Source organism: Homo sapiens, chromosome 6 (genome assembly GCF_000001405.40).
Source record: "Homo sapiens chromosome 6, GRCh38.p14 Primary Assembly".
NCBI lineage: Eukaryota > Metazoa > Chordata > Mammalia > Primates > Hominidae > Homo > Homo sapiens.
Genome location: NC_000006.12, coordinates 73,537,901 through 73,562,916, shown reverse-complemented (window position 1 = coordinate 73,562,916; position 25,016 = coordinate 73,537,901). Strand labels below are relative to the sequence as shown.

The following is a 25,016-nucleotide window of genomic DNA, read 5'->3' as shown; positions in this document are numbered from 1 at the left end:
AAAAGGAATCAAACACTGTTTTAGGCTTTCAGGATACAAGGTTAAAAACAAATAAAAAGATCTCAACTGAGATTTACGATTAATAATTCTGTTTTATGATATAACTGTAGTCATACTTCATAGACAAATAAAATAATACCTAATGATTGCACAATCACAGATACGAACTTTAGAGATTGGAGCCTAAATCTCCAAAACTATAACATCCAGGAGCAGAAATCCAAATCATTTCTTACATTATACACCCCCTTAAAGCATAAAAAAAAATTAAAAAAGAAAAAAGGCAAATGGGAATGAGATTCCATTCTCTTTGGGGAATAGTCACTAGGCCAATGACAGGAATAGGATGAATTCCTTGCTTATCCATTCCCTAGTTACCTTCTGATAAGGTTAGAAGGTAGTAACCCCTGAATGTACCCATGTAGACCCAAATTGGTTCCTGGTGATACTAGGTATTCATGCACTGTTGGATAAATTCAACTAATCCCTTTGAAAATTTCCAGTAGCAAGTGAACATTATTATTTTCCAAGTCTTTTCCCAATTGCAAAGGGGCCTCTGTCAAATGTCTGGGTCAATGGTTAAAATGTCGAAGCCTTTTGGTGACTTAGAAAATTCTAAACTTGGCCGGGCACAGTGGCTCACACCTGTAATCCTAGCACTTTGGGAGGCCGAGGCAGGCAGATCACGAGGTCAGGAGTTTGAGACCAGCTTGGCCAATGTGGCAAAACCCCATCTCTACTAAAAATACAAAAATTAGCTGGGCATGGTGGCGTGTGCCTGTAGTCTCAGCTACTCTGGAGACTGAGGCAGAAGAATCACTTGAACCAGGGAGTTGGAGGTTGCAGTGAGCCAAGATCGTGCCACTGCATTCCAGCCTGGGCAACAGAGTGAGACTCTGTCTCAGAAAAAAAAAAAAAAAAAGAAAATTCTAAACTTTAGAGATAGAGCTTGAGCTATTAGCACTGACATTTAGTTATCAGTCAGGTATCAAGAAAGCTATGGTAATAGGGCCGGGTGCGGTGGCTCACGCCTATAATCCCAGCACTTTGGGAGGCCGAGGCGGGCGGATCACGATGTCAGGAGATCGAGACCATCCTGCCTAACACGGTGAAACCCTGTCTCTACTAAAAATACAAAAAATTAGCCAGGCACGGTGGCGGGCGCCCGTAGTCCCAGCTACTTGGGAGGCTGAGGCAGGAGAATGGCGTGAACCCGGGAGACGGAGCTTGCAGTGAGCCGAGATGGCGCCACTGCACTCCAGCCTGGGCAACAGAGCGAGACTCCGTCTCAAAAAAAAAAAAAAAAAGAAAGAAAGCTACGGTAATAGAGTGATGGGATTAGGGTGTTTACTGAGATTTTAATTCTTTCCTCTTTGTGTATGTTTTTGTTTGTTTGTGTGAGACACAGTCTCACTCTGTCACCCAGGCTGGAGTGCAGTATCCCGATCTTGGCTCACTGCAACGTCCACCCCCCAGCTCCAAGAGGTTCTCCTGCCTCAGCTTCCCAAATAGCTGGGATTACAGGCACCTGCCACCATGTCCAGCTAATTTTTGTATTTTTAGTAGAGAACGGGGTTTCACCATGTTGGCCACTGGTCTCGAACTCCTGACCTCAAGTGATCTGCCCGCCTCGGCTTCCAAGGTGCTGGTATTACAGGCGTGAGCCACCGCGCCCAGCCTCTAGCTCTTTGAAGTTAACTTTTTGTTTACCCTAAAATTAGTTTTAACTTTGCATAGGGGATTAATTGTCATACATAAAATCTGACTCTGCCCATTTCAGTGATTAAAATAGGATTAGAAATTGGAAGGAGGGGTTGCGGAATGATTTGTGTCCTAGAAACTGGATTTGGTAAGAAATGTTGAAAGCAGAAGTGAGATTCCTTTGAATTTTTTTTTCTTTTTCATAAGTGACATCTCTATGTCATGTCTAGTTTCTTTTCTTTTTTATTTTTTTCATTGAGGAAGGCCGGGAGACATGTCTAGTTTCTATTATGGTTATAAGCAGTGGCAATTTGCAATTATTAAGGAAGGAGAGAGGGAGAAAATTCTGGAAACTGTTTACTCTTATTTCACCTTGAGATGCCAGATTTTCTCTATTTCTATTTGCTAGCAAAGCATACCGTCACCCAAAATAGCCACTGAGTTTTCTTGTAAAAATCAAAGCAATTGTCCCTAAATACTTCATTTGTGTTCTTAGATACAAAGGCTTACAGAAGAAGATAAGTATTTCCCCTTCTTTGAGGATAAGATGGTGTGAAAACATAAAGCAAAAGAGGGCAAAAGGTTGAATATTCAAAGGTTAAGTAATTCAAAAAGAGAAACAAACAGATGGATTTTTGTCACACGTACTGTTCTTTGTTGAAAACCCTGGTAGTGGCAGAAATAGTCCAGGGCTAACGACGACCTGCATTGACTCTAGGCGCTGCAGCTTTCTGCTGTGTAAACCTTAGTCACCTCTGTGCCTTAATTCCCTAGTATTTAAAATAGAAAATATCACCAGCTACCTCGGAGTTTTTTAGGCCTTCTGCCAGATTTTTTTTTTTAAAAGTGCTTCAAAGCTATTTCATAGGTACTTGTGGGCTTTTCCTGGGTTTTTTCAAGGATGATGTCACAGATCCTATATCAAAAAGAACATGTATTTCTGTTCATTTGGGGTTTTCTTTTTTCTTTTTTCTTTTTGAGTCAGAGTCTCACTGTCGCCCAGGCTGGAGTGCAGTGGTGCGACCTCGGCTCACTGCAACCTCCGCCTCCCAGGTTCAAGCGATTCTCCTGCCTCAGCCTCCCGAGTAGCTGAGACCACAGGCGCACGCCACCATACCCGGCTAATTTTTGTATTTTTAGTAGAGACAGGGCTTCACTTTGTTGGCCAGGCTGGTCTTGAACTCCTGACCTCAGGTGATCCACCTGCCTCGGCCTCCCAAAGTGCTGGGATTACAGACGTGAGCCACAGCGCCCGGCCTGTTCATTTTGTTAATGCCAAGAGTCAACAATGGGAAGAACCGGGTTCTAGGTGAAGTTTGTAACCAAACGAGGCAAAAAGGTTCGGTAGCCATTTTGAAAAGCACTTAGCCAGGCGTGGAGGCGGGCGCCTGTGATCCCAGCTACTCGGGAGGCTGAGGCAGGAGAATCACTTGAATCCGGGAGGCAGAGGTTGCAGTGAGCCGAGGTCGCGCCACTGCACTCCAGCCTGGGTGACAGAACGAGACACCATCTCAAAAATAAAAAAAAAAAATACAATAAAATACACACACACACACACACATGCACACACACACGCTCACTTAGAAAAGAAAGGCGCGAGGCCAGGCAGTGTGACTCACGCCTTTAATCCCAGCAATTTTGGAGGCCAAAGCGGGAGAATCTCTTGAGCTCAGGAGTCCAAAACCAGCCTGGGTAACATGGACAGAACCCCCTATCTCTACAAAAATTAGCCGGATGTGGTGGCACACACCTGTAATCCCAGCTACTCAGGAAGCTGAGGTGGGAGGATTACTTGAGCTCCGGAGTGGGAGGTTGCAGTGGACTAAGATCGTCCCACTGCACCCAGCCTGGGTGACAGACCAAGATGCTGTCTGGGGGTAAAAAAAAGAAAGAAAGGAAAATGTACAAGTATGGAAGTTTCTCTATGAGTAGAGAGAAACAACAGGACCAAGTGCAGCCCTAGCCTCTAGAACCTTAACTAACCAAGCCCACCACCTGCAACATACCTCTAGCTCAGTTTAGAGCCCAAGGCTCTTTGTTATTTTTGTTTAGGGAGAACAAAGGAAGGGGCAAGGTAGGGAATGAGGATGGAGAAAGAACAAAATTTGACCTCTGTAACAGCAGAGGTCAAATTAGTGAAGACAGAAAAAACGTGAGGGAAAATCAGCCTGTCTTCAGTGTGGGTGAGCTGTTCCCTAGTAGACCCCAGGTGCTGCTCCCCCTCCTGGAGGATGGGGCTCCTCCCCCTCCCTTTCCCAGCTCTGTAACTGTCCTGGGCAAAGCAAGACAATAAGCTCAGTCCTAGACACCCCCAACCCTGTAAGACATCCCTTTTCTTAGCTGCCCAGAAACCTCATATTTCAAGGTTGAAAGGATGTGGGGGCCTGTTAATACCATACTGAAATACGTATCACTTTCTGTTCACACTTGTCCCCTCCAGTGCCATCAGTCCACCCCCACCTGCCCTCCAGAGGGTGAAGGACCTGACCGACCTGTCTTTTGTGTTTCTGGATCACTAAGGCTACAGCTACTCCTTGGGACATATTGGGTGAATTAATGTGGTTGAATGATATCAGTAGTCATTCATCACAACACCCACTGGAGTGTTAAAGTTCTTTTAATTGGGAAAAGCATATAGATTACTGTTGATAAGAGAATCTGATTTTAGCTAGGCTTTCTTATGCATAAACGCAGCAAATAGAGAGGTTCCAAATCTTTTTTGCTTTTGGTTTATCTATGTATATTTATACTGGGCAATTCAAGTTAAAATATTCCTTTCAGCTTACAACCCTGATTAAAACTTCCCATTTTCTGTTTCTCCCTGAAGTCTCATCCATTAGCCTACATTTAGTCTCTAATGTAAAAAAGTAACCCAAAATCAAAAGAAAGATGAGAGCAAGATTGGTTGAAGTAGTTTTATAAAGGACAAGTCCCTAACCAACTATAAATGCCCTGACAACTATAAATGTGAATGTACTGCCACAGCCATTTGTGGTGGTGAGAATGCCTTAAACTATTTTCCCATTTTTCTGAAGAGTCAAGGGACTTCTGCCTTTAGGACTATTTAAAATATTTAAGCTGGGCACAGTGGCTCACACCTGTAATCCCAACATTTTGGGAAGCTGAGGGGGAGGATCACTTCAGCCCAGGCATTCCAGACCAGCCTGGGCAACATAGTGACACCCCCATCTTTACACACATACACACGCATACACAGTCAGGCATGGTACACACACACACATACACACACAGCCAGGTGTGGTGGTGCATGCCTGTGAGTCTTTCTACTCCAGGAGTTTGAGCTGGGAGTATCCCTTGAACCTGGGAGTCCAGGCTGCAGTGAGCCATGATCGTCCCACTGCACTCAAGCCTGGGCCACACAGCGAGACCCTGTCTCAAAAAAAAGGGGTCGGGGTGGGAGGGATGGTTGATGTCTTCACACTTGGAACACAAACCCAGACTAGAGAACTGGAGATAGCTAAAATAATCCCCATAGCTAAAAGTGAGTGCTGCGTCTGGAGTTAAAATTCATTTCCTTCTTCACTGAGCAGGGCAGCCTCGCCTGGGCCTCGTATTCTTGGGTATAATTCTCTGTCTGCAATCCGAGCACCCTGGGCACAGCCAAGGCAACAGGGCAGTGCTCAGGGTACCTTCTCCAGGGGCTGACTTACCTTCTTCCTCTGCATTCACTGGACAATTATAGCTCTGTTTCAAGTGCAGACTGAAAAATTAACAGTTTCCAGAGTAATTGGGGAAGTTATCAAGGCCATATGGCCCGGGGACTGAGAGCCTGGAGCGCCTGCTGGAATATCTTTTGCCTTTGCAGATGTACTGAGCTATTCATTGTCTGGGGCATTCTTCATTCAGGATTAGAGACCAAAGTTGTGTGATGCTGCTGAGGTAATAAATGATTATAAGATCATTTTCCCAATACAAAGCAATATACATGTGTTTTCCTGATTTCCCTATGGCTTTTTTAATAACTAAGAGGTCTGGATTCTTTAAGAGTATGGAAAGAGGTAATGACCAAAGACCATGTTCTAACTGTGAAGATCTCTCCTGCTCTGTATTATCTGCCCTGGGAAAATGGAGATTCAGAAAACGAGTGACCAGCTCAAAGATGAAGGGACTAGCTTTCTCTTTGCTCTGTGAGGATGTTAAAAATAGCAGTGGAATTATAAAGAGGTATCTCAATCCTCCAGGAGAAAGAGGCTATACATAAATGCAGTGTGGCTTAAACTTAAATAGCAAGACTGGACAGTGGCTCTTTCATTCCAGCAAGTGTCAGCCAGCTGCTTTGCTAATAAAGAATTCTCAGTTGGGGAGGGTGAGAAGATAGGATCAGCAAGAAAAGGAGGAAAATAGAGCAGGAAAAAAAAACTAGAGAAAGTTTTAATTTTTCCTTAACTATTTTCAAAAACTACATGTAAGTGGTGAAGAAACACAAACATATCACGAGTCTCCCTACTTTCCCTCTCTTTAAGTTAGCCAGTGGTCCCTTCCACAGGGTTCTCCCTTCTCATATACATGTGGCTTTGTTGTTGTTGTTTTTTCAGATGGAGTCTCTCCCTGTTGCCCAGGCTGGAGTGCAGTGGTGCGATCTCAGCTCACTGCAACCTCCGCCTCCTGGGTTCAAGCAGTTCTCCTACCTCAGCCTCCTGAGTAGCTGGGATTACAGGCGCCCACCACTTTGCCCAGCTAATTTTTGTATTTTTAGTAGAGACAGGGTTTCACCATGTTAGCCAGGGTGGTCTTGAACTCCTGACCTCAAGTGATCCACCCGCCTTGGCCTCCCAAAGTGCTGAGATTACAGGCGTGAGCCACCATGCCCGGCCACATGTTTTTTGTTTTTTTTTTAAGTTTGCTGACTGACTTAACATTGGCAAAGGTGAAAGTAGAAAGTGGAGAGGTAAAGAAAATTACCTATCCACAGTCACACTCACTAGAGACAACTACTGTTAACATTTTAGTGTATCACTTTCCAGCATTTTTATACCAGAGAGAGAAAAGAGAAACCACAGGGGAAGAAATAGGAAGGAAAATGAAAGGGGAGGGAGAAGATGAAAAACATTTACATCTTCAATAGCATCAAGTGTTGAAAGCATCATGCTATGTAGGAAGGCCAAGTACATTCGTCTCTCAGAGGAGCCATCTGTAACAATGGAAGGCAACAACTAAGGTGTTGTATCTACTTGCTTTTTTTTTTTTTGAGATGGAGTCTCCCCTCTATCACTCAGGCTGGAGCGCAGTGGCGCAGTCTCCGCTCACTGCAACTTCTACCTCCCAAGTTAAGCCATTCTCCTGCCTCACCCTCCCAAGTAGCTGGGATTACAGGCGCCCGCCACCACACCCAGTTAATTTTTTGTATTTTTAGTAGAGACGGGATGTCACCATGTTAGCCAGGCTGGTCGCAAACTCCTGACCTCGTGATCCGCCCACCTCGGCCTCCCAAAGTACTGAGATTACAGGCCTGAGCCACTGCACCCGGCCGTATCTACTTGCTTTTAAAATGTTATCTGTGCTTGAGCCAGGGATTGCAGTGAGCTGAAATCATGCCACTGCACTCCAGCCTGGATGACAGAGTGAGACTCTGTCTCAAATAAATAAAATAAAATAAAATAAAATAAAATAAAATAAAATAAAATTAAATTAAATTAAATTAAATTAAATTAAAATAAATAAATAAATGAAATAGATCTGTAATTTCTAACTTTTTTTTTTTTTGAGACGGAGTTTCACTCTTGTAGCCCAGGCTGAAGTGCAATGGTGCAATGTCAGCTCACCAAAACCTCCACCTCCTGGGTTCAAGCGATTCCCCTGCCTCAGCCTCCCTGAGTAGCTGGGATTACAGGTATGTGCCACCATGCCCAGCTAATTTGGTATTTTTAGTAGAGATGGGGTTTCTCCATGTTGGTCAGGCTGGTCTTAAATTCCTGACCTCAGGTGATCCACCTGCCTCGGCCTCCCAAAGTGTTGGGATTACAGGCATGAGCCACCATGCCCTGCCTCTAACTCTTGTTACTGTTATTGTTTACATTTCTAACGCAGAAACGCTTGCTTCCCCCTAACGACCTCAAGATCAAAGCTACCAACAAAAATCCATCCAAGTGAAGTGATTGACTTTGAGAGTTCTTGGCAGCAGCTGTGAGAGGACATGAGTTCAAGAAGTGTGGATCACCCAGTATGGTGGCTTATGCCTGTAGTCCCAGCACTTTGGGAGGCCAAGGCAAGCGGATCACTTGAGTCTAGGTGTTCAAGACCAGCTTGGAGAACATGGCAAAACCCATCTCTACAAAAAATACAAAAATTAGCCGGGCATGGTGGCACATGCCAGTAGTCTCAGCTACTTGGGAGGCTGAGGTGGGAGGATCGCTTGAGCCCTGGAGGCAGAGGTTGCAGTGAGCCAAGATTGAGCCACTGCACTCCAGCCTGGGTGAAACAGCCAGACCCTGTCTCAAAACAAACAAATGACAACAACAACAACAAACCCATAGTGTAACTTGAAATAATGTAAAAAAAAGTTATTAAAAAACATAATTTATGGCCGGGCATGGTGACTCATGCCTGTAGTCCTAGCACTTTGGGAGGCTGAGGCAGGAGGATCACTTGAGCTCAGAGCTTCAAAACCACCCTGGGCAACATAGTGAGATTTTGTCTCTATTCGGTTAAATTTTTTTTTTAAAAAGACACACTTTTTAAGAAAATATGGATGAACTGTTGAAAAATATCACTTTTAGGCCGGGCGCGGTGGCTCACGCCTGTAATCCCAGCACTTTGGGAGGCCGAGGCGGGCGGATCACGAGGTCAGCAGATCGAGACCATCCCGGCTAAAACGGTGAAACCCCGTCTCTACTAAAAATACAAAAAATTAGCCGGGCGTAGTGGCGGGCGCCTGTAGTCCCAGCTACTTGGGAGGCTGAGGCAGGAGAATGGCGTGAACCCGGGAGGCGGAGCTTGCAGTGAGCCGAGATCCCGCCACTGCACTCCAGCCCGGGCGACAGAGCGAGACTCCGTCTCAAAAAAAAAAAAAAAAAAAAAAAAAAAAAAAAAAAAAAAGAAAAATATCACTTTTTTTTTTTTTTTTTGAGACAGAGTTTTACTCTGGCACCCAGGCTGGAGTGCAGTGGCATGATCACAGATCATTGTAGCCTGAAACTCCTGGTCTCAAGCAGTCCTCTCACCTCAGCCTCCTGAATAGCTGGGCACACACCACCATGCCCAGCTAATTTTTTAGAAAATATTTTGTAGAGACAGGGGATTGCTATGTTGCTCAGGCTGGTCTCAAACTCCTGGCCTCAATCAATCTTCCTGCCTCGGCCTCCCAAACTACAGGGATTATAGGCATGAGCCACCTCACCCACTGCCCCACTCTCTTTTCATACTAAATGCATATAAAGCTGGGTGCAGTGGCTCAAGCCTGTAATCCCAGCACTATGGGAGGCTGAGGCGGGTGGATCACCTGAGGTCGGGAGTTCAAGACCAGCCTGACCAACAAGGAGAAACCCCATCTCTACTAAAAATACAAAATTAGCCGGGCAAGATGGCACATGCCTGTAATCCCAGCTACTCGGGAGGCTGAGGCAGGAGAATCACTTAAACCCAGAAGGCGGAGGTTTTGGTGAGCTGAGATCGCACCATTGCACTCCAGCGTGGGCAACAAGAGCAAAACTCCATCTCAATAAATAAATAAATCCATATAAATTTACTTGGGACGGCCGGGTGAGGTGGCTCACACTTGTAATCCCAGCACTTTTGGAGGCTGAGGAGCATGAGGTCAGGAGATCGAGACCATCCTGACCAGCATGGTGAAACCCCATCTCTACTAAAAAAACAAAAAAAAATTAGCTGGGTGTGGTGGTGCATGCCTGTAATCCCAGCTACTCAAGAGGCTGAGGCAGGAGAATCACTTGAAGCCGGGGGGCAAAGATTGCAGTGAGCCGAGATCGTGCCACTGCACTCCAGCCTGTCAACAGAGCAAGACTCTGTCTCAAAAAAAAAAAAAAAAAAAAAATCTACTTGGGACAACTGGTTAAATGGGCATATTTCCAGACCCCACCCCAGAGATTGTGGTTCAATTGATCAGAGACTGGGCAGCACCCCAAAATTGGCATTTTTACCCTGTAGCCTGGGTAATTCTGATGTATTTGGCCATAGACCATGCTTTGAAACACTGTATGCATTACAAAATTTTTTTTCTTTTTTTTTTTTTTTTGAGACAGGGTCTCACTCCGCCATCCTGGCTGGAGTGCAATGACATGATCTCGGCTCAGTTCAACCTCCACCTCCAGGGCTCAAGTGATCCTTCCACCTCAGCCTCCCAAGTAGCTGGGACCCCCTGGCATGTGCCACCATGCCCAGCTAATTTTTGTATTTTTATTTTATTTTATTTTATTTTGACATGGAATCTTGCTCTGTCACCCAAGCTGGAGTGCAGTGGCACGATCTCAGCTCACTGCAATCTCTGCCGCCTGGGTTCAAGCGATTCTCCTGTCTCAGCCTCCTGAGTAGCTGGGATTACAGGCACACACCACCACGCCTGGCTAATTTTTTTGTATTTTTAGTAGAGACGGAGTTTCAGCATCTTGGCCAGGCTGGTCTTGAACTTCTGACCTCATGATCCACCCGTCTCAGCCTCCCGAAGTGCCAGGATTACAGGCGTGAGCCACTGTGCCCAGCCATTTTTGTATTTTCAGTAGAGGCAGGGTTTCACCACTTTGGCCAGGCTGTTCTCAAACTTCTGACCTCAAGTGATCTACCTGTCTCGGCCTCTCAAAGTGCTAGGATTACTACCGTGCCAAGCATATGCATTAAATTTAGCAATCACGTAAGTGTGAGGAAGAAAATACCTAAATAAATGGGCGAGAAGTATTACATTCCTTGCTAAACAGTGTAGGGTGGTGGCAAAACACTTTTAAATCTGTCAGATCTACCATCAGAACTTGCCGCCACTTTTTTACTGGCTGGAGATTTTATTTTATTTTATTTTATTTTTGAGACGGAATCTGGCTCTGCCGCCCAGGCTGGAGTGCAGTGGCGCGATCTTGGCTCACTGCATGCTCCGCCTCCTGGGTTCACACCATTCTCCTGCCTCAGCCTCCCGAGTAGCGGGACTACAGGCGCCGACTGGCTGAAGATCTATAGAAAGTTTTTGTCTCTGATCTTGTTTGCTCCTAGGCAAACTGGTTTTATATTGAAGACATTAGAAAATCTTTACTGTACTATAACTTTATTCCGTTCCTTATTATAATGCCTCAGTTGTTTAAAAATGTAAATGGCCTGGTGTGGTGGCTTATGCCTGTAATCCCAGCACTTCGGGAGGCCGAGGCGGGTGGATCACGAGGTCAAGAGATCGAGACCATCCTGGCCAACATGGTGAAACCTTGTCTACTAAAAATACAAAAATTAGCTGGGTGTGGTGGTGCATGCCTGTAGTCCCAGCTACTCAGGAGCCTGGGGCAGGAGAATCGCTTGAACCTGAGAGGCAGAGGTTGCAGTGAGCTGAGATCGCGCTATTGCACTCCAGGCTGGCGACAGAGCGAGACTCCATCTCAAAAAAAAAAAAAAAAAGTAAATAATGTAATGTAACTTTTAATTGTCTATTTTGCAGGTGAACTTGAAAAAGAGTTATTGCACTAACAGTGTAAATAAAATTGAAACAAAAACTAAAATGGATTTCCATGTGAGAACAAATATCGATTATTATTATTATTTTTTTTTTTTTTGAGGCAGAGTTTCCCTCTGTTGCCCAGGCTGGAGTGCAGTGGCACAATCTCAGCTCACCTCAACCTCTGCCTCCTGGGTCCAAGCGAGAACGTCTGGTTAATTTTTCAATTTTTGGTAGAAACAGGGTTTCACCATGTTGGCCAGGCTGGTCTCAAACTCTTGACCTCAAGTGATCTGAACACCTCAGCCTCCTAAAGTGCTGGGATTACAGGTATGAGTCACCATGCCCAGCCTGTTATTTTTATTTAATGCAATTTTTTTTTTCTTTTGAGACCAAGTCTCGCTCTGTCACTCAGGCTGGAGTGCAGTAGCACAATCTTGGTTCACTGCAACCTCTGCCTCCCAAATTCAAGCGATTCTCCTCCCTCAGCCTGCTAGTAGCTGGGACTTCAGGCACCTATCACCACAACAAGTTAATTTTTGTATTTTTTTAGTAGAGTCCGGGTTTCACCATGTTGAGCAGGCTGGTCTCGAACTCCTGACCTCAAGTGTTCCTCCTGCTTCAGCCTCCCAAAGTGCTGGGATTACAGGCGTGAGTCACCGTGCCCAGCCACAAATACTGATTATTTAAGTTCACATATAGGATAGTTAGCTTCTTAGGGTAACTTCTTAGTGCTTTTACTTCCCATTCTAACAGTAAAAGACTATTAGGATTTCGTGGGTTTCTTGGGGCTTCCAAAATACATTGCTGGGGAAGGGGGGTGCATCCCTCCAACACCCCCGCTTTCCCTACCCTCCACCCCTAACTCCACCGCCAGACTCCTCCACTCTTTAATCCCATCAAGGAAGTGATAAGATTTTTTCTTCAACTATTTTCTCTAATTATTTTGGAATAATTTGGATTTACAGAAAATTTGCAAAGATAGTTCAGAAAGTTCCCATTATACACTCACACAGGATAAGATTTATTTTTAGAAATAATCCTAAGTACTTTGTTATGTGTAACCGTCAATCACAACATCCTATCATAATCTTGATTAATTGGTTGTTTTGCTGATCATCCTAGGCAAGTTTCCCCCTTACTTTTTTTGTGTCTATGTTATCATTTCCTAATCTCACTGAATCTCTGGACAAAGCTCTTTAGGGGATGCTAATGCTCTCTCCACCTTCCATTCTAAGTCCTAGGAATTTTGGCATATTTTGGCATGGGCCTACATGTTGAATACCCTGGTGGCAGCCTGGCCTTGACCTATTGATGACATTATCAGTGCTGACCAACAGGAACTTTAATTAAATGAGCTACCCCTTTTGCAAATCTAAGTATGAGACATTCTGGTTTCTTCCTAGTCTGCCAGAAACAAACCTTGGAGGCCTGGATGACATGGTCTTCTGGGGACTGACTTAAATGATCTCTGCAAGCATGATAGGCACCAAATCACAATTATATCTACCTTCCTTGGTAGATTCTAGCACTGTAGCTTTACTTTTAAAATAACTTTAGAGTTAAATGCAAAATTTTAAAAATTTAAGTTAAATTTAGATTAAATATTTTAAATTTTAGTTTAAATGTTTTTTCTTTATAGCATTTACCCCATGCAAAACATATTCTTATGAATGAATTGTCTGGTATGAGCTTCTTACATCAGCATGACCTTTTTGCTTAAGCACATTATTCTTGTTAAACTGATTTTAACAACAGCCATTGTTATAAATTAGGAAGAAAATAAGTTGCTTTCCCCATGCTAACTCTTTATTTCTTAAATGGAGGAGAGTGGACCAGATAATCTGAGTGGTGGAGGGGGGAAAAGAATTTGCTTTGGAGGCCAGGCATGATGGCTCATGCCTGTAGTTCCAGCACTTTGGAAGGCTGAGATGGGAGGATCTCTTGAGGCCAGGAGTTTAAAACAAGCCTGGTCAATATAGCGAGACCCCATCTCTATTTTTTTTAAATTTATTTTAAAAAAAAAAGAATTTGCTTTGGATCCAGGCAGTCACTTGTGGGTTGCTATCTTAAGCAAGTTTCTTAATTTCTCAAAGCCTCTGTTCTCTTATCTGTGAAGTGGTTATAATACCTATCTTATTTAATAGCTGTAAGGACTAAATAATTTATAATACAGTGACTTGCAGCAAATGGGAGTTGTCCACTTTATTAATAAATGCATTATAGTTTTGTGTACATTTATTTTGTCTTTCCCACTGACATGGAAGCTCCTCAAAGATAGTGTGGTTCTTTTTTTTTTTTTTTTGAAACAGAGTTGCGCCCTGTCACCCAGTCTGGCGTGCAATGGTGCAATCTCGGCTCATTGCAACCTCTGCCTCCTGGGTTCAAGCGATTCTCCTACCTCAGCCTCCCGAGTAGCTGGGATTACAGGTGCCTCCCACCATGCCCGGCTAATTTTTTTGTATTTTTAGTAGAGACAGGGTTTCACCATGTTGGCCAAGCTGGTCTTGAATTCCTGACCTAGGGTGATCCATCCACCTTGGCCTGCCAAAGTGCTAGGATTACAGGTGTGAGCCTCCACACCTGGCCAGTGTGATCCTTTTGTATCCCCTGGGAACTCAGGACAGCACTGAACAGGGAGTAAACTCCAAGTGGCTGTATTATTGCATTGCTGTTTTCCAAGTTAACAACTGGTTTGAATTTTAATGAATGTTACCCGTGAGCTAATATTGACTCGCCAAAACTCTCACAGTTGCAACATGGCCACACAAATTGAGTAATGTTTTAGCTTAAAAAATAAAAATAAAAAATAAAACCCTAGCTATTTCATTAGGTCTTTACAAAACTACTTTTCGTGGACTGGAATAGTTTAATACTGATGAAGGCATAAGTTAAGTTACTGAGAAGGACAAACTATGAATGGATTGGATTTGGGAAGTACAGAGAATGAGAAAATGCCTCACATGTGACCAGTTGGGTGCGTAACTTCAAAAAGAGCTTTGGAAAAGAATAGCAAGGCTGTTAATTAAGGTAGAGTTTGTAGTTTTATCTTAAAGAATAATAACTTGTTAGCATAAGATCTTATTTTTTTTAATCAGTACTATCACTGTTCAGACACGAATAGGACTTGACAGTCTAACGAAATGTTGAAGTGTTCACAACTTGTGAAATTCAGGGGGCCTAAATAAGCTATAAAGACCTCTGTAAAAACAAGCGTATTAATAAAGAGCAGAAGGGCTGGGCTCGGTAGCTCATGTCTGTAATCCCAGCACTCTGGGAGGACAAGGCGTGTGGATCACTTGAGGTCAGGAGTTTGAGACCAGCCTGGCCAACGTGCTGAAACCCCATCTCTACTAAAACTACAAAAATTAACTGGGCCTCGTGGCATGCACCTGTAATCCCAGCTACTCAGAAGACTGAGGCACGAGAGTCACTTGAACCTGGGAGGCAGAGGTTGCCGTGAGCCGAGATAGCGTCACTGCACTCCAGACTGGGTAACAGAGCGAGACTCTGTCTTAAAAAAAAAAAAAATCAAATATTTAAAACACTCTGGTAGAGGAGAGTCTACCAGGGACTATGGGGAGTGGGAAGGGAGAGGTTTTTGTTTTGTTTTGTTTTGTTTAATTTCCACCACCTTGTCTAAGAGAGTTGTTAGTTAATGGGTACAAAGTTTTTGTCAGGGATGATAAAAAATTTTAGGTATAGATAGTGATAATTACACAACATTGTGGATATAGTTTAGCCACTGAATTGTACACTTGTGAGTGGTTCAAATGATGGACATTATGTTATGTATCTTATCGCGATAAACCTTGCCACCTCCCAGGGAGAAAAAAAGTTATCAGGCTGGGTGTGGTGGCTCACACCAGTAATTCCAGCACTTTGGGAGGCAGGCAGATCACTTGAGGTCAGGCATTCAAGACCAGCCTGGCCAACATGGTGAAACCCCACCTCTACTGCAAATACAAAAATATTAGCTACTCAGGAGGCTGAGGCAGGAGAATCACTTGAACCCATAAGGCAGAAGTTGCAGTGAGCCAAGACAGTGCCACTGCACTCCAGCCTGGGTGACAGAGCAAGACTTTGTCTCAAAAAGAAAAAAAATAGTTATCTTTGGGCTATTTCAAAAGTTTGATGATTTTCTACAAGGAATGTACCTGCCCTTGCACTTTGTTTATAGCACAGAAGGAAGAAAAAATATTTGACCTCTTCAAGCTCAATCTTTAGGGTTATTTTTATTCTATCTTGAGTTAGTAATCAATTTCTTTTCAATTCTCAAACTCAAGTTTCACAATCACAAACCACAAAACAAAACAATCAGTACCAGGACAAAAACACACAACAAAACAAAACACCACACAATACATAAATCAGGAACTGGGAGAAATGGAGTAGTGGTGAGAAGAATATGAATGCTATTTCCCTCTTTCTACAGGATTCTAAGAATTTCTTTTCTATTACTGTTGATTCAAAAGAGGCCGTTTCAGCTTTTGGGTCCAAAAACTGGTAATGTGATTTCAAACAATATTGTCTTTTTTTTTTTTTTTTTGAGATGGGGATCTCACTCTGTCACCCAAGCTGGAGTGATGTGGCACGATCTTGGTTCACTGCAACTTCCGCCTCCTGGGCTCAAGCGATCCTCCCACCTCAGCCTCCTGAGTAGCTGGTACTACAGGTATGTGTCACCACATCTGGCTAATTTTTGGGGGTATTTTTAGTAGAGGACAGGGTTTCGCCATGTTGCCCAGGCTGGTATCGAGCTCCTGAGCTCAAGTAATCCACCCACCTTGGCCCTTCAAAGTGCTAGGATTACAGACATGAGCCACTGCACCAGGCCAAATATAGTCATTATATGTCACTAAAACATAACTGGAGGCCCAGTGAGTTCAATTAAATTTTGTGCATATGTGTGGATAGTATGCTTTTATGCACATATAAACACATGGTAACTTAATGACCTGAAGGGCTTTTAGAAAAGAATTTGATTTATTTATTTATTTATTTGAGATGCAGTCATGTTCTATCACCCAGGCTGTAATGCAATGGCCTGATCTTGACTCACTGCAACCTCCACCTCCTGGGCTCAAGCAATTCTCCTGCTTCAGCCTCCCAAGCAGCTGGGATTACAGGCACCCACCATCATGCCTGGCTAATTTTTGTATTTTTAGTAGAGATGGGGTTTCACCATGTTGGCCAGGCTGGTCTTGAACTCCTGACCTCGTGATCCACCCATCTCGGCCTCCCAAAGTGCTGGGACTACAGGTGTGAGCCACCGCATTCGGCCAAGAATTTGGTATTTTAACAGTATCCTGCCAAAAGAAATAAAATGATTTGGGAAGAGGGATGAGTAGTTGAGACACTTTGATCTTTAAAAATCAACTTATTGAGGTGCAATTTACATATCATAAAATGCACTCATTTTTTTTTTCTTGAGACAATGTCTTGCTCTGTTGCCCAGGCTGGAGTTGCCCAGTGGTACAATCACAGCTCACTGCAGTGTCGACATCCCAGGCTCAAGTGATCCTCCCACCTCAGACTCCCAAGTAGATGGGACTACAGCGTGCCACCCCGCCCAGCTCATTTTTTTTTTTTTTGTGGAGGTGATGTATCACGATGTTGCCCAGGCTGGTTTCCAACCCTCAGTCTCAAACGAGCCTTTTCCCTTGGCCCCGCAAAGTGTTGGGATTACAGGTGTGAACCACTGAGCCTGACCTTCATTGATTAATTGATTGACTTTTTAAAAGACTCCTGGCCGGGTGTGGTGGTTCACACCTGTAATCCCAGCACTCTGGGAGGTCAAGATGTGTGGATCACCTGAAGTCAGGAGTTCAAGACCAGCCTGGCCAACATGGTGAAACCCCATCTCTACTAAAAATACAAAAATTAGCCTGGGGTGGTGGCACACGCCTGTAATCCCACCTACTTGGGAGTCTGAGGCGGGAGAATCGCCTGAACCTGGGAGTCAGAGATTGCAGTGGGCCAAGATCATGCCATTGCACTCCAGCCTAGGCAAAAAGAGCGAAACTCCATCTCAAGAAAAAAAAAAAAAAAAAAAAGACTCCTGACTTCAGCAAGAATAGGGATTTTTTTGTAGTCCTAACGTAGTCCTAATGAAACAAGAATAGGGATTTTGTTGAAAAGAGGTGTAGAGGTAGAGAAGGAGATGTAAGAATGTCTGCAAATTGACTCTGGAGGCTGAGGCAGGAGGATTGTTTGAGCCCAGGAGTTCAAGACCAGCCTGGACAACACAGCAAGACCCCATCTCTACAAAAAAAAAAAAAAAAAGAAAGAAAGAAAAGAAAATAAGCCAGGTGGGGTGGTGTGCATCTGTAGTCCCAGCTTCTCAGGAGGCTGAGGTGGTAGGATCACTTGAGTCTAGGAGGTCAAAGCTGCACAGATCGGTGATCATGCCACTGCCCTCCAGCCTGGGCAACAGAGAGAGACCTTGTCTCAAAAAAAAGAAGAAGAAGAAGAAATAAGAGGAGGAGGAGGAGGAAGGAGGAAGGAGAAGGGAGAAGAAGAGGAAGAGGAAGAAGAAGAGAAAAATTAGCCAGGCATAGTGGTGTGCACCTGTAGTCTCGGCTACTTGGGAGGCTGAGGTGGGAGGCTCACTTGAGCCCAGGAGGCAGAGGGTGCAGTGAGCCAAGATTATACCACTACACTCCAGCCTGGGTGACAGAATGAGACCCTGTCTCAAAAAACAAACAAACAAACAAACAAACAAAAAAACGATGAAGATGAGAGAAGACGAGGAAAAAGAAAGAAGGAGGGGGAGGAGAAAGAAGAAAGGAGAAAGCCAGGTATGGTGGTGCATGCCTGTAGTCCCAGCTTCTTGGGAAGCTGAGGCAGGAGGATCGCTTGAGCCCAGGAGTTTGAGAGCAGCCTGGTCAACATGGCAAGACTCTGTCTAAGAAGAAAAGAAAACCCTCTGTAACAAGCAGACCTGGCTCTAAAAATAGCCACTTATATAACTAATTATGGAATGTCTAGTGTAAAAGAAGCCCAGTATCTATGAGAACGATGCAAACATTTGCCTATTCTCCATGCAGCTCTATCTTCTCCAGTCTTGGGCTGATCATTCCTGTTGATTGCCTTCTAGCCTTCTAGCATTAAGGCAGCCTTCTGTAATAAAACTAGTGTTTTGATTTGTGAAGTGTCAAGTGTTTTCATTTGCTCTCACATGAATCTTTTTTTTTCTTTCTTTTCTTTTTCTCTTTCTTTTTTTTTTTTTTTTTAGACAGAGTCTCACTCTATTGCCCAGGCTGTTGTGCAATGGCACAATCTCGGCTTACTGCAACCTCCACCTCCCAGGTTCAAGTGATTCTTCTGTCTCAGCCTCCCAAGTAGCTGGGATTACAAGGGTGCACCACCACATCTGGCTAAATTTTGTATTTTTAGTAGAGACTAAAACATAGTTTCACCATGTTGGCCAAGCTAGTCTTGAACTCCTGACCTCATGATCTGCCTGCCTCGGCCTCCCAAAGTGCTGGGATTACAGGTGTCAGCCACCACGCCCAGCCTCTCACACAAATCTTCAAACAGTACACAGGGTCACTTATAAATCCTAAAAAAGACAACATAGGAATAGCCATAACCCAGAACAAAGCAATCACACTTATGTTGAGATCAGTTGTTTCAATGCAGACATTTGCATTTCAATACTCTGGGCTTTAGACAGTATTACAAGGCTGTCTTGACTTCCTACCAACCAGCTATGCATTCTGATTAAAAACTTTCCCCCTTAACTTCTTTTATTTTTCTTTTTAATTTTTTGGGTTTTTTTTTTCAGACGGGGTCTCACTATGTTGCCCAGGCTGGTCTCGAACTCTTGGGCTCAAGTGATCTGCTCGCCTCAGCCTCCTAAAGTGCTAGGATTACAGGCTTGAGAGTCACCATGCCTGGCCTCTCCTTAACTTCTAATTGAGCATTATAAAAGAAAAGCTCTGTGACTTTATTAAGAGTTTTAACCTTAAGATGTCCATTTTTTTTAAACAAAATAAGGCAAAAGATTGACTAAAGTAGAAATTAGTGACTGTATCTTAATAGTGTTTTACAATCTCTAATACTATCCTTTGGAAACTCTTGAGTGATACGCACAGCATTATACCCTCTTTTTTCTTTTTTGCACAAACAGTCCTACTGTAGTTATTCCCTACTCTTGAACTCATTTGCTATTTTCAGCTTGATATTGTGCCTTTTCTATATTAATAGCTGTACATTTTGGTTATTTTATTTTATTTTATTTTATTTTGAGACAGGGTCTCGCTCTGTCACCCAGACTGGAGTGCACTGGCACAGTCATGGCTCACTGAAACCTCTGCCCCGAGAGCTCAAGTGATCCTCCCATCTCAGCCTCCCAAGTAGCTGGAACCACAAGTGCTCCCCACCACGTCCAGCTATTACTTTTTTTTGTAAAGATGGGGTTTCGTCATGTTGCCCAGGCTGATCTGGAACTCCTGGGCTCAAGTGATCCACTCGCCTCAGCCTCACAGAGTGCTGGGATTACAGGCCATGAGCCACTGCACCCGGCCTGGTTAATTATTTTTTGATTCAGTAATCTGTTTACTTCTAAAAGGAGTCCCATACTGTTAACCTCAGAAATTCAAATGTATGCTTAGTAACTACAAGGAATAATTTTATTTTATTTTTTGAGACAAGCTCTCTGTCACCCAGGCTGGAGTGCAGTGTGATCACAGCTCACTGCAGCCTCAACCTCCAGGACTCAAGAAATTCTCCTGCCTCAGCCTCCCAAGTAGCTGGGATCACAGGTGTGACACCATGCCCAGCTAATTTATTTTTATATTTTGTAGAGACAGGGTCTCCCTATGTTGTCCAGGCTGAACTTGAACTCCTGAGCTCAAGCAATCCTCTTGCCATGGCCTCCCAAAGTGTTGGGATTATGGGCGTGAGCCACCATGCCCAGTCAAGAAACTAAGAATACTTAATGGCCGGGTGTGGTGGTTCACACCTGTAATCCCAGCACTTTGGCAGGCCAAGGTGGGTGGATCACCTGAGCTCAGGAGTTCAAGACCAGCCTGGCCAACATGGTGAAACCCTGTCTCTACTAAAAACACAAAAATTAGCCAGACATGATGGTGGGTGCCTGCAATCCCAGCTACTCGGCAGGCTGAGGCATGAGAATCACTTGAATCCGGGAGGCAGAGGTTGCAGTGAGCTGAGATTGTGCCATTGCACTACAGCCTAGGTGACAGAGCCAGACTCCGTCTCCAGAAAAAAAAAAATAAAGCTAAATGTGCAAAGACTTTTTGTTTGTTTCCATTATCCATCCCTGAAATCTAACAGACAATTAAATAGGCTTAAACAAGATAATCAAAGATAATTAAATTGCCTAGAAAATGTAACTGAAAGAATCAAAAGCCAGGCGCAGTGGCTCACGCCTGTAATCCCAGCACTTTGGGAGGCTGAGGCAGGCAGATCATGAGGTCAGAAGATCAAGACCAGCCTGGCTAACACAGTGAAACCCCGTCTCTACTAAAAATACAATAAAAATTAGCAGGGCGTGGGGGCACGCGCCTGTAGTTCCAGCTACTCCAGAGGCTGAGGCAGGAGAATCGCTTTAACCTGGGAGGTGGAGGTTGCAGTGAGCCGAGATCTCGCCACTGCACTCCAGCCTGGGCGACAGAGTGACACTCCATCTCAAAAAAATTAAATTAAATTAAAATTAAAAAGATTTTAGCTGGGAGCGGTAGCTCACGCCTGTAATCCCAGTGCTTTGGGAGGCCGAGGCAGGTGGATCACGAGGTCAGGAGGTTGAGACCATCCTGCCTAACACGGTGAAACCCCGTCTCTACTAAAAAAATACAAAAAATTAGCCGGGTGTGGTGACGGGCGTCTGTAGTCCCAGCTACTTGGGAGGCTGAGGCAGGAGAATGGCGTGCACCCAGGAGGCGGAGCTTGCAGTGAGCCGAGATCACGCCACTGCACTCCAGCCTGGGCGACAGAGCAAGACTCCGTCTCAACAACAAAAAAAAAGATTTTAAACAAGAATTAAATATTATTTAAACTGGTGGATTAAGTTTCAAACATGTCCATCCTTACATGAAATAGAAAATGGTCCTTATTAGAGGAAAATCCATTTTTCCCCCCATAGATACAAGGTCTTGCTATGTTGCCCAGGCTGGTCTCAAACTCCTGGGCTCAAGCAGTCCTCTCACCTCCGCCTCCCAAAGTGCTGGGATCACAGGCGTGAGCCACCCCACCCGGCTGAGCAAAATCCTTTATTTTATTTTATTTTATTTTATTTTATTTTATTTTGAGATGGATCCTCGCTCTGTCACCCAGGCTGGAGTGCAGTGGTGCGATCTTGGCTCACTGCAACCTCTGCCTCCTGGGTTCAAGCGATTCTCTGCCTCAGCCTCCGGAGTAGCTGGGATTACAGCAACTGCCACCATGCCCAGCTAATTTTTGTATTTTTAGTCGAGATGGGGTTTCACCATCTTGGCCAGGCTGATCTTGAACTCCTGACCTCGTGATCCACCTGTCTTGGCCTCTTGAAGTGCTGGGATTACAGGCATGAGCCAACACGTCTGGCCTGAAAATCATTTTTTTAAAATTTATTTATTTATTTTTGAGACCGAGTGTCGCTTTGTCGCCCAGGTTAGAGTGCAGTGGCACCATCTCAGCTCACTGCAACCTCCACCTCCCAGTTTCAAGCGATTCTCCAGCCTCAGCCTCCCGAGTAGCTGGGACTACAGATGCGCGCCACCACATCCAGCTAATTTTTGTATTTTTAGTAGAGACAGGGTTTCACCATGTTGGCCAGGCTAGTCTTGAACTCCTGACCTCAGGTGATCCACCCGGTTGGCCTCCCAAAGTGCTGGTATTACAGGCGTGAGCCACCACACCCAGCCTGCAAATCCTTTTAAATATGACATATGGCTGGGCACAGTGGCTCACGCCTGTAATCCCAGCACTTTGGGAGGCCAAGGCAGGTGGATCATGAGGTCAGGAGATTGAGACCATCCTGGCTAACATGGTGAAACCCCGTCTCTATTAAAAATACAAAAAAAAATTAGCAGGGCGTGGCAGCGGGTGCCTATAATCCCAGCTACTTGGGAGGCTGAGGCAGGAGAATGGCATGAACCCGGTAAGTGGAGCTTGCAGTGAGCCGAGATTGTGCCACTGCACTCCAGCCTGGGCAACAGACCGAGACTCCATCTCAAAAAAAAAAAAAAGATGACATATGTCTGAAGAGATGGCCTGACTGAAGAGGAAAAGTACTTCCTCTTCCTTTCTGTATCTGATAAAGTTTTCTTCAACATTTGCTCTGAATTTACCATTTAACTGGTTTTTCAAGGCTTAAATTTATTCCACAAGTATTTATTAGTCCTAATCACTGTTGGAGATTGTAAAACTGGACTTGGAGTCCCATGATAGAGCCTCAAACTGTGTACCTAGCTTTATTTTTTCTAGAGCAGGGTTTCTCGGCCTTGGCACTGTTGACATTTGGGGCTGGATAGTGCCTTGTTGTAGGGGGCTGTTCTGTGCACTGTAAGACATTTAGCAGCATCGTTAGCTGCCACTCATTAGATGCCAGTAGGATTCCAAAGTCATGACAATAAGAAATGTTCAGGCCAGGCACGGTGGCTCACGCCTGTAATCTCAGCATTTTGGGAGGCCGAGGCAGGTGGATCACCTGAGGTCAGGAATTCGAGACCAGCCTGGCCAACATGGTGAAACTCCGTCTCTACTTAAAACACAAAAAATTAGCTGGGCGTGGTGGTACACACCTGTAATCCCAGCTACTCAGGAGGCTGAGGCAGAAGAATCACTTGAACCCAAAGGTGGATGTTGCCTGTGCACTCTAACCTGGGATGGTGCCACTGCACTCTAACCTGGGTGACAAAGCGACACTCAGTCTCAAAAATAAATAAATTAATTAATTAAAAAAAAAAAGGATTTTCAGGCCGGACGCGTTGGCTCACGCCTGTAATCCCAGCACTTCAAGAGGCCAAGACAGGTGGATCATGAGGTCAGGAGTTCAAGATCAGCCTGGCCAAGATGGTGAAACCCCATCTCTACTAAAAATACAAAAATTAGGAGTGCAGTGAGCCAAGATTGTGCTACTGCACTCCAGCCTGGAGGACAAGAGCAAGACTTCATCTCAAAATATAAAAAAATAAAAATACAAAAATTAGCCAGGCGTGGTGGTGCACACCTGTAATCCTAGCTACTTGGGAGGCTGAGGCTGGAGAATCGCTTGAACCTGGGAGGCAGAGGTTGCAGGGAGCTGAGATCCTGCCATTGCACTCCAGACTGGGTGACAAGAGTGAAACTCCATCTCAAAAAAAAATGTTTCCAGACATTGTCAATTGTCCCAGGGGAGGGGGTGGGGACAGGGGGAATGAACACTCTTGGTTTGAGAATCACTGTTCTAGAACCACACAGGACTACTCAGTTTTCCTTAAACAAGCCATGAATTCACATCTCTTTTTTTATTTTTTATTTTTTTTTAGGTGGAGTCTCCCTCTTTCACCCAGGCTGAAGTGCAGAGGCATGATCTGGGCTCACTGCAACCTCTGCCTCTCAGGTTCAAGCGATTCTCCTGCCTCAGCCTCCTGAGTGGCTGGGATTACAGGTACTTGCTACTATACCCGGCTAATTTTGTATTTTGTATTTTTAGTAGAGACAGGGTTTCTCCATGTTGGTCAGGCTGGTCTCAAACTCCCGACCTCAGGTGATCCACTTGCCTCAGCCTCCCAAAGTGCTGGGATTACAGGTGTGAGCCACCACGCCCCGCCTCTTGATATCTTTCAAGACCCATATTCTCTATGAGGATTCCCCAGGTGCAATCTAGTGGTGAACCATTATCTGTCTGGTCCTTGCTTTCTTGAGGCCTATGGGTCAAGGGACAAAGGAGATAATTATCTAATATTCACTACAATTCATGTATATTTACAAACTAAGACAAGTGGGCATTGTGGCTTATTCATGCCTGTAATGGGCATGGTGGCCCACGCCTGTAATCCCAGCACTTTGTGAGGCTGAGGTGGGAGGATCGCTGGAACCCAGGAATTCGAGGCTAGCCTGGGCAACACAGTGAGACCCCTATCTCTACAAAAAACAAAAAATTAGCCAGGCATGGTGGTATGCGCCTGTGCTCCCAGGTACGCAGGAGGCTGAGGCAGGAGTATCACTTGAACCCAGGAGTTTCAGGCTGCAGTGAGCTGTGATAGTGTCACTGCACTCCAGCCTGGGCCACAGGGGGAGACTCTGTCTCTAAAAACAAAACAAAAAGTTAATTTTTTAAAAAAGGTACTTTCTGGCCAGGCATGGGGGCTCATGCCTGTAATCTCAGGACTGTGGGAGGTCGAGGTAGTTGGATCATTTAAGGTCGGGAGTTCAAGACCAGCCTGGCCAACATGGTGAAACCCCGCCTCTACTAAAAAATACAACAATTAGCTGGGCGTGGTGGCAGGCACCTGTAGTCCCAGCTACTCTGGAGGCTGAGGCAGGAGAATCGCTTGAACCTGGGAGGCAGAGGTTGCAGTGAGCCAAGATCACACTACTGCACTCCAGTCTGGGCGACAGAGTAAGATGCTGTCTCAAAAATAAATAAATAAATAAATAGAATAAAAAATAAAGGTACTTTCCATGTGGCAAATGATATGCAAGACATCACAAAGAGTGATGGGAAAGCACAGAGAAGGGCACAGCTCAATGTGGGGAATTCACAAGACCTCCAGAGGCT

At 44.6% G+C, this 25,016-nt stretch overlaps 1 long non-coding RNA gene across 1 annotated transcript in view, besides 2 other annotated features; it reads right to left on the bottom strand.

Annotated features, from left to right (window-relative positions):
- EEF1A1-AS1 (EEF1A1 antisense RNA 1) overlaps positions 1–25,016 on the bottom strand; it is a 52,643-nt gene that overhangs the window by 13,337 nt on the left and 14,290 nt on the right. The window lies entirely within an intron of this gene.
- Positions 1,827–1,966: an enhancer, noted in NCBI's record as "active region_24752". NCBI's record gives its function as "activates an Ori minimal core promoter by ATAC-STARR-seq in GM12878 lymphoblastoid cells {active_cell/tissue: GM12878}" and the evidence as "EXISTENCE:reporter gene assay evidence [ECO:0000049][PMID:35858748]".
- Positions 1,977–2,036: an enhancer, noted in NCBI's record as "active region_24751". NCBI's record gives its function as "activates an Ori minimal core promoter by ATAC-STARR-seq in GM12878 lymphoblastoid cells {active_cell/tissue: GM12878}" and the evidence as "EXISTENCE:reporter gene assay evidence [ECO:0000049][PMID:35858748]".